The sequence below is a fragment of the Homo sapiens genome, chromosome 5, assembly GCF_000001405.40.
Source record: "Homo sapiens chromosome 5, GRCh38.p14 Primary Assembly".
Classification (NCBI taxonomy): domain Eukaryota; kingdom Metazoa; phylum Chordata; class Mammalia; order Primates; family Hominidae; genus Homo; species Homo sapiens.
This window is the reverse complement of record NC_000005.10, coordinates 60171836-60185306: the sequence shown is the minus strand read 5'-3', so window position 1 is coordinate 60185306 and position 13471 is coordinate 60171836. Positions and strand designations below refer to the sequence as shown.

Genomic DNA, 13471 nt, shown 5'->3' with positions numbered 1-13471 from the left:
TGATGTTGAACACTCTAATTTTTGAGTGCATGCAGAAAATATATGATTAAAAGTCAAAATATAGGGAATTTATGTCTTGAATATGAAACCTTCTGGGCAAGTCTAAAAGCATAAATTATACTTATGTTATTAGTTACTTCAACCAGTCACATTCTGAAAGTTCTTCCCTTCTATGAGCTTTCTACCCTGGCATATATCTCTAATTTCTTCTTTTAATCTTTTTTTAAAAACATTTTAAATTGAACATCCTCAGGGCTCTACTGAAGGTTAAACCTTATTTCCAATTATGTAGTGTTCTTAAGGTACCACAGTCATGATACTTTTTAAATTTATATTAGTGTATGGAAAAAAGCAAATAGAGCAACTCAAAGAAAGCCACACAAGGAAAGGATGAAAGCAGACTATTAATTTCCATCAAGCAAGCGCTAAGAACACATCCCTTTGTTCATTTACCCAAGGGGGATAAGGCATCCAAACAGATGTACTTGTGACGTAGGAACATTAATTTGAAGGCATCAGAAAAACCACAAATGCAAACACATTTCTCTAGTATGGGAACACTTTGTGTTATAACCAGTGATTCTATTGTGGTGGCCCAAGGCCATCTTTCATTCTTTCTATGGAGTTACCATCCAGCTTTTAAGGGTGAGGCATGAGTATGTGCAGATAAAGTATAGTATGCCCAACTGTGTTTGTTAAAAAATGAGGATATGCTGAGAGATATGCCAATCCTTTGACTGAATACCGTGTTTAATAACCAACCAAGTAAATTCAACAAACTCTGAGGAATTGTTCAAATTTATGTGTTTTACTGGTTGGTGTTTGGTTGTATGGATTATTGCATAAAAGAAGGGGCCATGGATTTGAGCCTGGAATTCCTTTTATCATCATACAAAGTCACTCACTGTAATAGGAGGTGACCTGCATACAAACTACCAAACTGCAAACACATCTTTCTCTTACTGAGTTTTCTTATTATAAATTAAATATGAAAGCAAACTATTCATATAATGTTTTCTGTTATTGAATTTCAGAGACATGAGATCTGAAAAAAAAATGTGTAAAGGCAAAAGGGAGGATATTTTGAATAATTACAAATGTCATTAAACATTTCCCTATTCTTGGAGGAAAACATTGTAAAAGCAAATGATTAACTGAGCGGTGACTTTAAGGAACTGAGACTACTTAATGATGCTAGGAGACTTCCTATTTGTATTTGTTTAATGCAAAAAATTTTATCTTGGTGGAAAGGCTCAAGCTTTCCAGATTAAGAGAACCTGAGTTGCCTACATTTGTCAAAATGTAAACAGTAGAACTCTCATTTCACTGCTTCCTAGCTTCTTGAGAATCCACTGGCATAAAGAAAATGCTTCCACTTAATTAAATGACTCTAAGCAGAAGTTAATGTTTATCAGAAAAAAAGAGCCAGACTTATTGCCTAGTTAGAAGTTGTCACTTTAGGGCTATAAAATTTTATTTTGCTCTGGTCTGAGCATATAACCCTCCAACGCTTACGTTTTTGCCATAATATAATCCAAAATTGTATACTTAGAGGTAGATTTTTCCTGGTTTTGATGAAGAAAGTTTAAAGAATTAGTTCTCTTTAGAATCTGAGGATGTTTATCTTTGGCATTCTGACATTTGGAAATCCAAAGAAAATGTTCGAAATTTAAAACAGTCTCTGTTCCTCCCTACATGCCTCTCTTGTAGGTCTTGCATCTTTCATTGTGAAAATTTAAGGCATACAAAAGAGGTAGAAAAAAGATCATCCTTAAACGATCACCTTACTTAGTGAGTTCCTCTCATGAGAGGGGTTCCAGTGTGTCTTGGAAGACCATTTAGTCACTCTTCAACTCAAACAATTCAGGCATAAGATGGGTGGTTAAACTATGTGAGTGTTCTGTTTCCTACCAGTTATGAATTTCTATGATTCTATACCATGTTGTGCTCATTCGTAAGTTGAATCAAAGACCAGTTCCCAAATAAATATAAAATCAAGGCATCAGGGCAAACAGAGTATATTAATCAGCTTGGGCTACAATATACCATAGACTAGGTGGCTTAAACAGAAAAGTATTTTATCACAATTCTGCAGGCTGGGAAGTTCAAGATCAAAATGCCAACCAATTTTGTTCCTGGTAAGCTCTCTCGTCCTGGTTTGCTGATGGCTTGCCGAAAGCTACTTTTTCCCTGGGTCCTCACATGGCAGAGAGAGAAAGCAAGATCTCTGCTGCTGCTTCTTTTAAGGTCACTAATCCCATCATTAGGGCCCCACCTTCATGAATTCATCTAACACTAATTACCTCCCAAAGACCCCACCTCCAAAAACCATCACATTGGGGGTTAGGGCTTCAACAAATGTATTTCAGGGGGACACAAACATTTGGTCCATAAGAGAGTTTGATATTCTTTTTTTTTTTTTTTTCTGAGACGGAGTCTTGCTCTGTTGCCTAGGCTGGAGCGCAGTGGCGCGATCTCGGCTCACTGCAAGCTCCGCCTCCCTGGTTCACGCCATTCTCCTGCCTCAGCCTCCCGAGTAGCAGGGACTACACGTGCCCGCCACCACGCTCGGCTAATTTTTTTGGCATTTTTAGTAGAGACAGGGTTTCACCATGTTAGCCAGGATGGTCTCAATCTCCCGACCTCGTGATCCGCCCGCCTCGGCTTCCCAAAGTGCTGGGATTACAGGCATGAGCCACGGCGCTGGAGTGCAATGCCGGGATCTCAGCTCACTGCAACCTCTGCCTCCCAAGTTCAAGCCATTCTCCTGTCTCAGCCTCCTGAGTAGCTGGGATTAGAGGCATGCGCCATCACACCTGGCTAATTTTGTCTTATTAGTAGAGACAGGGTTTCACCATGTTGGTCAGGCTGGTCTCAGGTGAATTTGATATTCTTAAGGGATGATTGATTTAATAAGTCACTGTCTTGTTTAAGCCCAAAGGGTAGTGACTAGTATAATGGAATCTGTATGTTTTCCCAATTTGGTAACACTGAAAATGATCTGGTCAACATCTTTCTCTTCATTTCTTATTTTCTAAATTTTATGTTAGGGACATTCTTACCAATGATTTTTGAAGTCTAATAATCACTTCATAGACCTAGAAGCTAATTTTAATTTTACTGAAAATGATTTTCCCCTTTCTTCACTATTCTTAGTTTGCTTATTTTATATTGTTCTTTCTTAACATCTAATCCAATGACAGGTCTCTGAAGTATCTTGTCCTATCAATGGATTTACTATTTAACTTTTCAGATGTTTATATATTTCAGAACTGACTATCTCAGTTACCCTTCTTCCCTCTGCTAATGCCTGCTTTCTTACTGGCTTTTAGCTAATCAGGGGAGGGAAGGAAAGGTACAGACAAGAGAACAGGATATAAAAATTTTTGTTGTAATTATATATTTTAAAATCAGGAGTTAAAGTAAAAATTTTAGCATTTTCTTTTCTTTATAATATCCCTGTTATTCTCCAAACTCATGAAGTTTTATAAATCTTCTCATCTGGAGAATAAACTAGATAAATTTTAATTCTTATTCATTAATAAATTTTCTTGTGTATTAAATTCTAAACTTTCTTGTAGTCTTTTGCATTAAATTCCCAATTTTCTAGTACACTGAATCATTTTCTTCCTACCAGTTTGAAGATATTCAAGATGTCATCTACTTAATTGGATTTGTTAATTTTCTTGATGAAATTGCCCTTTATTTGACTTAGGATTCTTATGGATGTTCTACTTTTGGATAAATTTGTCACTCACCAGATGTCTTTGATGTTCCTTGTTCTTTTTTGATAGAATTGTTGTTCAGTGTTCATTCAAAACTGGAAGCAACTCCTTGGTGTTTGGAAGACATAGGGTATCTGGCACATTCTTTCATAATGAATTTAAAGCCCACCTAAATAGGCTGTCAGTTTTGAGTCTGGGGGCTAGGAGCCCATCTGGTGAAATTTTTCCCAGTAGGCTCCCTAGAATATTGCTTATTTTCATGGAAGACTTTAAAAAATTGTACAAACTTGGTAAACTAAAGTGATTTTATTCTTAAGAAAATATATATTTTTTTCCATCTGTACCTTTACATTGCTGAGTTTTTAGAAGCAGTCACTCACCTAATGACCCAGGGTGAGTTATTTATGCCATTTTATCTGCATTTTTTAGTGTCTTCCTGGAGTGGGCAGCCAAAAAATAAATTTAGAAAAGATGGTACATTTTGTTATGGCACTTCAGAGCTATCTGCATTCATTTTTCCTCACAATTACCCTGTAAGATAGAGTATTTTTTATTTGTATGGTTAAAGTAAAAATAACAAATTCCTTCCTAGATGGGCTTCAATTCTCTACTATATTCAACCCCACCTAAGCTACGAGATTGACAAAGCTGTTGCAGCTTAGAATCCTAATAAAGTTAAGGATGTATAAACTGATTTTTTTCACTGGTATTCACTCAGCAGGGTCCAAGAAGGTCACGGGAGATGCTGTAGGTAAAATCCTTTGAAAAGCACAAAATACAAAACAAAACCAAGTTCCTGCTTGTGTCTTTATTCACAACAAATTGATATGAGAAGTTGTAGTTTTAGAGATTTCACTCCTTTGGTCCTTATACCTGCCTTCCAGCTTGTTCTCCTTCTTTACAAAGTTCTACAAATATTTACTGAATGGCTACTGTGTGTTAGGCTCTGAGTATCCAATGTAAGATACATGTTCTCTCTACCCTCATAGAGCATATCTGATAACTAAATTTATAATTTTTACAATTTGTTAAAATTATTTCACCACCCTGTCTCCCTAACCCTGATCACCTAACTGTATCCCATTTTAATCTTTAATTCTTTTTAGGAAGGCTGAAGTTCTGTATCTCTCTGAAGTCTCTCTGTATTTGCACTTCATCACGTTGTGGGCACCCTGTTTAGTAGGGATATTTTGAGCTGTGAATAATGTGCTATAATTGACAATTATGCTCATTGTTGCAGAAACATAGATTATTTCAGAGTAGATAAAAAGAATTTTTCTCAGATAATCAACAATAGTATAAGAATAGCCAAGAGTATAAATAAATGTGAGAATGACAGGAAAGGTCTGAAAGAACAGCGACTGATCAGCAACCATTTGCTTTAAATCAATCACATGTCACATGACTGTTTTAGTGGCCAAAGCCAATCATTAAATTGTCATCTTGGAAAAAGTTCCACTTTTTTCTGTACTGTGATGTGTTTGCTATTTCATTTTTGGACAATTTCAAGTTGAAGTTGAATTACAAATGATTACGTCCAAGAAATAATTGCATATATTGTACTTACCAGTGTAAACACCACAGATACAAAAAAATGGAGAGAAATCTTGTTGCATTGTTAATGAATATTAAAAAATTATTCTTACAGACAAAATCTCTCTATAACAAAGTGAAATTTTGAAGAAAAGCATAACTGGTGGAGTTTTCTATCAGTAGTATTTGCTCTAGAAAAATGTTTATAATGGCTGCTTATTTTTAACTGAAGGTAATTTTCTTTTAAAATTTTGTTTAGCTTTTTTTCACTATTGAAATGGCAAATGTTTTGAAAACTAAAAAATTGACTTCAATTAAAATTATTAGTGTGTTTACATTGTTTCCCATGGTCAGCACTTTCAAGGGCAGAACTGGAATTGTCCCTGAGTTATAGTTCTGGCTTTGCATCTGTGCATCTATGTCTTGGTAGAAGAAGTGGGAGTAAGAGAACCATAAGTAATTAGTTTTATTATCAAATGCTTCCAATAGCTTGCATAATTTTTTTCAAGGGTAAAATGAGAAAAACAGCATTGAAATCACATTAAAAAATAAAGCAAACAAAAAATCCAAACCAAATCATCAAGCAGAAATCATTTTAAAAATGCTATACAATAATCAATTGTGTTCAATACTTCTGCGCCAAAACCTTTAAGTCTTAAAGCTTTCCTAAATGGAATTAGTCCATCAATAAGCAGATAACAACTTTACTTTTATTGTTGAAAAATGTCACTCTTGTCAGTTCACAAGTTTCCCTAACTTGTGCAAATTAAAAGCCATGACAGCAAGGCCAAGAATGGTTCGTTGGTATATAGTTAGAGAGACCCTGACCCTGCTTTCTTGTTCTTCCTATTACCCAGGATATGTCATACGCCACACACATGGGGGTAGGGATACCGCCCTACTTATAGCATAAGAACTGAGAATAAGACATTTAGCTTATAACTCTTTTATGGTAATATTCCCCTCCCACTGCCATTCTTCCTACTCAGGTAGTCTGGACTTCTGTTTTGGCAATATTGCTTCCGTGAGAAGGATTTGACTGTACTTGCAGCCCTCAACATCCTGAATTTAATACAATCTACGATATTTGTTAAGCCCTCACCAACTATTTGACCAAACTATGACAGTTACATCCCACGGAACTGTATACCAAATGGTACCCCAGCAGTTCAGAGAGTTAACACACCACCAATTCACTTCCAGGTTGGGCTTTAAGATTTTCAGAGGATCTTGCTTATGAAATCATATTGGCTTTTAGATAAATGTATTAAAATTACTGAAAACAAATGATAACACCACAGTACCACAACCTAAACAATCCTTTCTATAAATTAATTTAAAACAAGAAACAACAAGCTTTAAATGTCATCATCTCTGCTTATTGTATGTCCTTAAAAATATTATTAAATGTCCAACTTTTATTTTTCTAGAAGAGGTCATTATATAGCATTGATTTGCCAGCAGGGTTCTATTTGAACATACCAAGAGACCTAGACATTGCTCAGAAACAGTAGTCTCAAAATAAACAAGGGATTGGAGGAAAAGATGAGAGATCTCCAGTATGTCTGCATATAAGGGCTGAAAAAGTAAAAGTTTCCAATTGTTTTTTTTTCTTTGCAAGTGCTCATGCAGGGATTCAGAACATGCATTCCTCACCCAACATAAATGAAATAATTGGCAAGTAGTCAAAGAAGACCATATCCTTGAGTGGGTAGTATTGTTGTCTATTTGGAAAGCATTTACATGTTTTGATTTCCTGAAACAATGCTGAAAATGTCCTAATGCAGGAAGGGAGAATTGAAAACAACCACCATAAAATGCAATTAGATGTTGGTAAAAGTGACTCAGAATAGACGTAAGTTAAAACTTTCTGACAGGGTTTTCTAGCACTGGGACAGTATTTTTTGAGGAAATTATAAAATGGTCTTATTTCAAGATCTTTTAACAATCTGATGAAATATTTATGGTTCTTTAAATTTGTATTGTTAGTATCATACTCTGAATTATAAAACATTTAAACATTTTAGTTTATAATCTTTAACTTCTCACTATTATATTTATAAATGTGTATATAATTTGTGCATATGTAGACATTCATGAGGAAGATGAACATATATGTTAATTGGCATCTGCTCATTTAAAACTAAAGTTGTATACTTTCATTACAGTAATACACGTCATTCATTAAATTATCTTGTGGCTTAGCTTTACAAATTCTTACCGTTACATGACTTTGGGTGAATGACCTCACCGGTGTCTATATCACTCATGTGTAACATGAGAGGAGTAGATTAAATAAACGAAAAGATTTCTTTCAACTCCAAAGCTATGACAATGTATTTTCAAGATTGTGTACTTCTTAGAACAGGCTCAATAATAATTTTTCACATTATGAACTTTGCAGTCAAAGAATAGGTTCTTCTTAACCTAACAAATGACTATCCTTTCCACCCAAAGTATAAACAGGATCCTGATTAATAAATTGAGTTCAAAGAATCTCTGCCAAGTATGCAAAATCACTGCCTCTGTTTGTCGGACATTCATTGCCTCTAAGAATTGATGGAATTGAAAATAACCTCATTTTACTGGGACCTCAGAGAATTAATTATTTAAATTTTTTGCTGCTTTAAACATTAATTTTCTTAATTTACCCATATATGTTGCTGATAAGAGCTGTAATATTTTGAATGGTTGTGCTTTGAAGAAATCTGAATCCTTTTGCTTTGTATTCCAATGACAGCAGCTTTGACCAGCGACCAGCTCTCTTCTGAAAACTACCATTTTGACCCCTGCATTTCACCTGTTGTCCCACCAAGCCTGTCTGTTTTTCCATTAACAGAGACCTCTGAATTGTTGTGCCAAATGTGGACAGTGTTGTTTCTTCCTCACTTTCCTGAATTATAACCAGTTCCAGGCGGTAACATGCAACCGAACTTTACTGAGTCCTGGACATAATGGGAAAAAATCATAGTGTAGAAAGAAAACTATAGGACTGAATATAAAAAAATAATCATTTCTGGCATTACAGGACAAACCCAGTCCTTTCTGCTTAGTTACTGACCTACCCCCTGTTGCTTTGCTTATCTTCCCACAGTGAAATGTCTTTCTTCTTATATCCTACATGGTTTCCAGGCCCTTTACTCCAGGAAAGCCAGGAGAAACGCCTTATTCCAAGTTCAAGTAAACATAATAATTTACAAAGATACAACTCTGCCCACAACAAAAAACTCCTTTTACAGCGTTATGCAAAGGCATTTAGACTGGAACATCTATGTTCCAGACACAGACCTTAACCAGTCTTTTGTCAAACTAAAAGAGCAATCTTTCCTCAAAGCTGGAATAACACCTTTTCTTTTAAAATAACATTTCGTGTCTCACACTCCCAGATGTTTTCATTTAAGACTTTAGAAAATACTGGGATCAGTTATCAGCCAAGAGTACCCCCATTCTAATAAAAATATTTAAAGACATGGAAAAATCAATGAATCCAAACAATCATCATCCTCACCAAACCCTTATCATTTCTATAACTCACAGTAAATAATCTCAAGTTCTTTATTTTGGTAAATTAAGAAATTCCAGAGTAAACTCTCTAGCTTCTGATTTAAGCTCAGAGATGCAGAGAGCTTCAGAGTGTCGTTCTCATTCTTACCATAAGGAAAAATCTATACAAACTACCTATTCATTAATTTAAAAAAAAGCACCAGCAAATTTAGGTCGTAGGGCAACCAAACAACTCCAAATCTGGAAAGAGACAGGCACCTGCAAGAAGAAAGAGGATGGCATCATTTGTTTTTCCTTGGGTAGACACCACCAGATGTCATGTAAACCAGCAAGATGATTCAGCTAAACATTTTAATGAATTGCTAAGGCTGAGTATGGGCTAGCATGAAAATGTGACACACTGGAGGTGGCAGATATAGGGAGTGCATCCTATAGCAGGCTTTTCCTCCACAAACCCCACCAGGCACTCACAGGAAAGACTGGGGAGAACAGCAGCCACCTTCAAACCCACAACCATTTCCCAGTGGAACAAAAGAGTTAATTGGCAAAGAGAATAGCAAAAATCATTGTCTTAGGGAACTGGAGGAAACCCATTGGTGATGGTGGCAGTAGGAAGAATGATCGTGGTGAGGGGAAGAGAAAAAAGTAATGCTCTATCCCCAGGGGTGGGGTATGGAATATATGCTAGGATTTGCACAACAATTGGAGAAAGTTGCAGGAGCACTTGTGAAGGCCACATTGCTGATACAGAGGTACACATTACCTACCTAAGACTGAGTCTTAATCAGAACATCAAGGAATGCCCTTCCTCCCTGGCCTGCTACCAACAGCCTAACAAGTGTTGAGTAAAAATAATATGGGAATATGGTTGAATATGGAAGAAATTCAAGAGACACATTCTCTTTAGGGCCCAGCATTAAGGGAAGACCCAAAGCTAAAGGGGGAGCAAATATTAAGAAAATAACAACTGGCAAGCCATTTCACAATCTATTCCTCTTTAAGAATCCAAAAGTATCTATCTCAGTATCTACTGTCCTACACAAGATATCCGGCTTTCAGCAAAATATTATGACCATATGAAAAGGCAAGAGAAAGCACTCCGAAGAGATAATACACATAAACATGTGATATATGGGACACATATAAAAATTATCACACAAGGAATTTAAAGTAACTATGATTAATATTTTAAAGGTTCTAAAGGAAAAGGTTGACCACATGTGAGATCAGATAGGTAATTTCAGAGGAGATATGGAAACTAAGAAAAATCAAATGGAAATGCTAGAAATTAAAAACATAGTCAAAGAGATTAAAAAATGTCTTTGGGCTTGTTAGTAGACGTGAGACAGCTAAGGAAATAATCACTGGACTTGAAAATAAGTCAGTAGAAATTACCCAAACAGAAAAAAGAGTGGAAATAAAAGGGAGAAAGAAAGAACATAACAGAGCATCCAAGAACTCTGGTACAATATTAAGTGGCATGACATATCCATAATTGAAATGACAGAAGGAGAGGAAAGAGAAAAAGAGGCAGAAGAAATGTTTGAAGAAAAAAATCGCTGAAAAAATTTCCAAAATTGATGATGGACACCAAATCACAGACTCAAAATCTCCAAGTATATCAAGCAAGATATATACCAAAATAAACACACACGTGCAGAGTCATGTTATATTGAAATTGCTAAAAATCAACAACATAGAGAAAACCTTAAAGGCAACCAGAGGGAGGGAATGATAAATTACCTAAAGAGAAGTAAGGATAAGAATTACAGCAAATTTCTCCTCAGAAATGTTGTGAGCAAGAAGAAAAAGGAATGACATCTTTAAAGTATTGAAAGAAAAACAAAACCCAGTAACCCAGAATTCTATGCCCAATAATAATACAGTTAAAACAGGAATTTAAATTTTTCTGACTGAACTTTTTAGGTTCCTATTCTGTCTGATGTCCCCAAAGTAATATGCACCTATATCCTCATTTTATTTTGTCTTTCCTTTTTCAAATCTGAGAGGGTAAAGCTGTTTCTTCTATTCAAGACCAACACCTCTATTGCCTCAGAGGGTTAGTCAATTGCCTCCTCCCTCTATAGGCTCAATTGCAATTTAGCTAATCTCTCTTCTATTTCTCCTTTTTACCTTAGTTTATGAACTAGACCATCCAGTCCTTTCTGTCACTCCCGTCCATGTATATCTCTTTTGACAATTCTAGTATTTATATTTTTCTTTCTAGTAGTTATTGCTATTTCCTTCTGAGACTGCATGTTCCTTAAACAATGCTGTTCCCCAAGATTCAGTCATTGGCCCATGTAATATTTTAAGGTATGAAGACACCTGAAAGATCATAAGATATCTCCTTTCATGTCTTAACTATCTTCTATTTGATTATCTCTCAATTTCCATATTTAGTTCCCATTTCTACTTTTAGTCACAGAACTCTAACCAAGTGCTTGCTGGACATTCATAACATCTACACAACATTTCCCAAACTAGATGCATCCATTATTCTTCCTCATCTTTAAACATACTGCTACATATCCTAAATATTTTCTATTATATTTACTGCCTCAGCTATCCAGTTGCCTAAGGCAGAGCCCTGGGAACCTTCCTCAGCTCCAGACTCATCATCCCTCCCAACATCTAAACAAGCAACAAGTGTTACTGCATGTATTTGTGGGCACATATTTCTGAGTCCTCATCTCAGCTTGACTTCCCTTTCCACCAATGCCCTGGGGATCACCTTATTTTTTCTCCCCAAGATGGTTCTCATTAAAATATACCACAGTAGTGATAAGTAGTAAAATTATATATGGAAGCTGCTGACTGTTGCTCCATTAGCTGTTTCTGTGGCAACTCTATTTTTTCCTATTAATAGTGTACTAAGTGTTTTGAATCTATGTCTTTTCACAACTTCTTTTGATTACAGTTTAAGATAGCCTTTAAATACTAAATTCATATTAAGGTGGATCTGATTGTGTGTGTGTGTGTGTGTAATTTCTGTTACAGCCATCATTCATAATTCATTATTTGTGAGGAATAATTATAGCAAAGACTGATTAGATGAAATGTTAGATTATTTATTATACCAGATTCGAATGGAATTAAAGTCTAATATATGTGTTAATGTGACTAATAAGAATAACAATAATAATTTAGAATTGCAAAATGCTTTTAAGTTTCCATATACTATTACAACATTTTCTTGTTTTTTTCCTTTATAAAAACTTACAGGTAGGAAAGGCAGTTATATTTATCCTCATTTTATGAGCCTTAGACAGATTAGGTGAGTTAGCCAAGATGCACAACTAGTAATGGTGAATCCTAGATATACTTCAGTTCTTCTGATTCCAAATTCCTTACTTTGGACACTAAACCTTGGAGCCACACAAATGTAACTGTAGGCATCACTTATGTACTAATGTACCTGTTACACCATGTGCCTACTGGAGAGAAACTGTAACATATTTATAGTCAATTATCTATATTTATAGCTATCCTCACAGTTGGATAACAATGTTATATTGTAAACTCTAGATACTTTTGCACTCTATGACAGAAAGTGGATTTTTTGTTTAGGAAGACATTTTAATTATGAATGGAGGCTTGTTGGGGATCCCTATTAGCCTTTGTTAAATCACAAGGAAGGTAAACTCTTTTGCATAATAAAGTATTAGGATTTTTAAACTTGTCCCCTGACTGCTCAAGAGATGAAGTTTGGGGAGCGGCAGTACTTTGGAGGACTCTGGTAAGTGAATAGATATAAGAAAGTTCTGCAGGGATAGAGCCACATGGCAGCAGACAGGGCTTAGGAAGAGGGACTACCAATTGTCCCTGTAGCAAAGATGGCCTGGTTAAAGCCTCTTTAGAATGAATGAGTTCTAGTAACCAGTTTTAAAGATTTGTCTGTTTCTTTTCTCCCCTCAACCCTTTCTTTAAACTTTCTGTAATCACAACAGCATTGTAACAATTTTGCCTCAAGCTGGGAAGAGAAGGGCTGTGTTCCTCCTAGAGACAAAACAGGGAAGAAAGGTAGCAGGGGCAGAGTGAAAGCAATGATTGCTGTGGAATTGGAACAACTGTGCAGAGGAAGCTGTGACAAATAATTAGGGTTGGTGAAGCACCTGTCCCTTTGGAGGTATTTCCCAGAAATACTGGGAAGGGCTCTAAATGTCCCATTGTTATGTGGGGAGATGGTTTTGTTTATTGTATTGCCCACAGAAGTCTGAATACGTTCAAATATTTTGCATATTTGTGTGTGTGTGTGTGTGTGTGTGTGTGTGTGTGTATTGAAGTACTTGGCATAAGGTTATGCTATTTCAAATTAACTTATAAAGTAATTTGGTTGATGCAATATTCTGTGATCAAAATTTATTGAGGACCTCACCAAATGCCAACATGTGTGTGTATATATATATATTATATTATATATATAATATAATATATATATATTCACTCATTTAGTTCTCAAAACTATTCTATGACACTAATATTTTATGTAACTTTTCTATGATACGATTATTATTCCTATTTTTTGGATAAACAAACTAAAGTACACAAAGGAGCCAATACTTACGTCTAAAATACCTAAAACATACATATTTGAAATAAGAGAATATGAGGAAAAAGTCTCAAAATTTTATGTAGGTTTTAATAATAAAATTGAAAAGTCGAATCATTTTAAAACCTTAAAGTTAGTATATGGAAATATTTGGCTC

The 13471-nt window shown here is 35.4% G+C and overlaps 1 protein-coding gene across 15 annotated transcripts in view; it reads left to right on the top strand.

Annotated features, from left to right (window-relative positions):
- Positions 1–13471, top strand: part of PDE4D (phosphodiesterase 4D) — a 1553091-nt gene that overhangs the window by 336822 nt on the left and 1202798 nt on the right. The window lies entirely within an intron of this gene.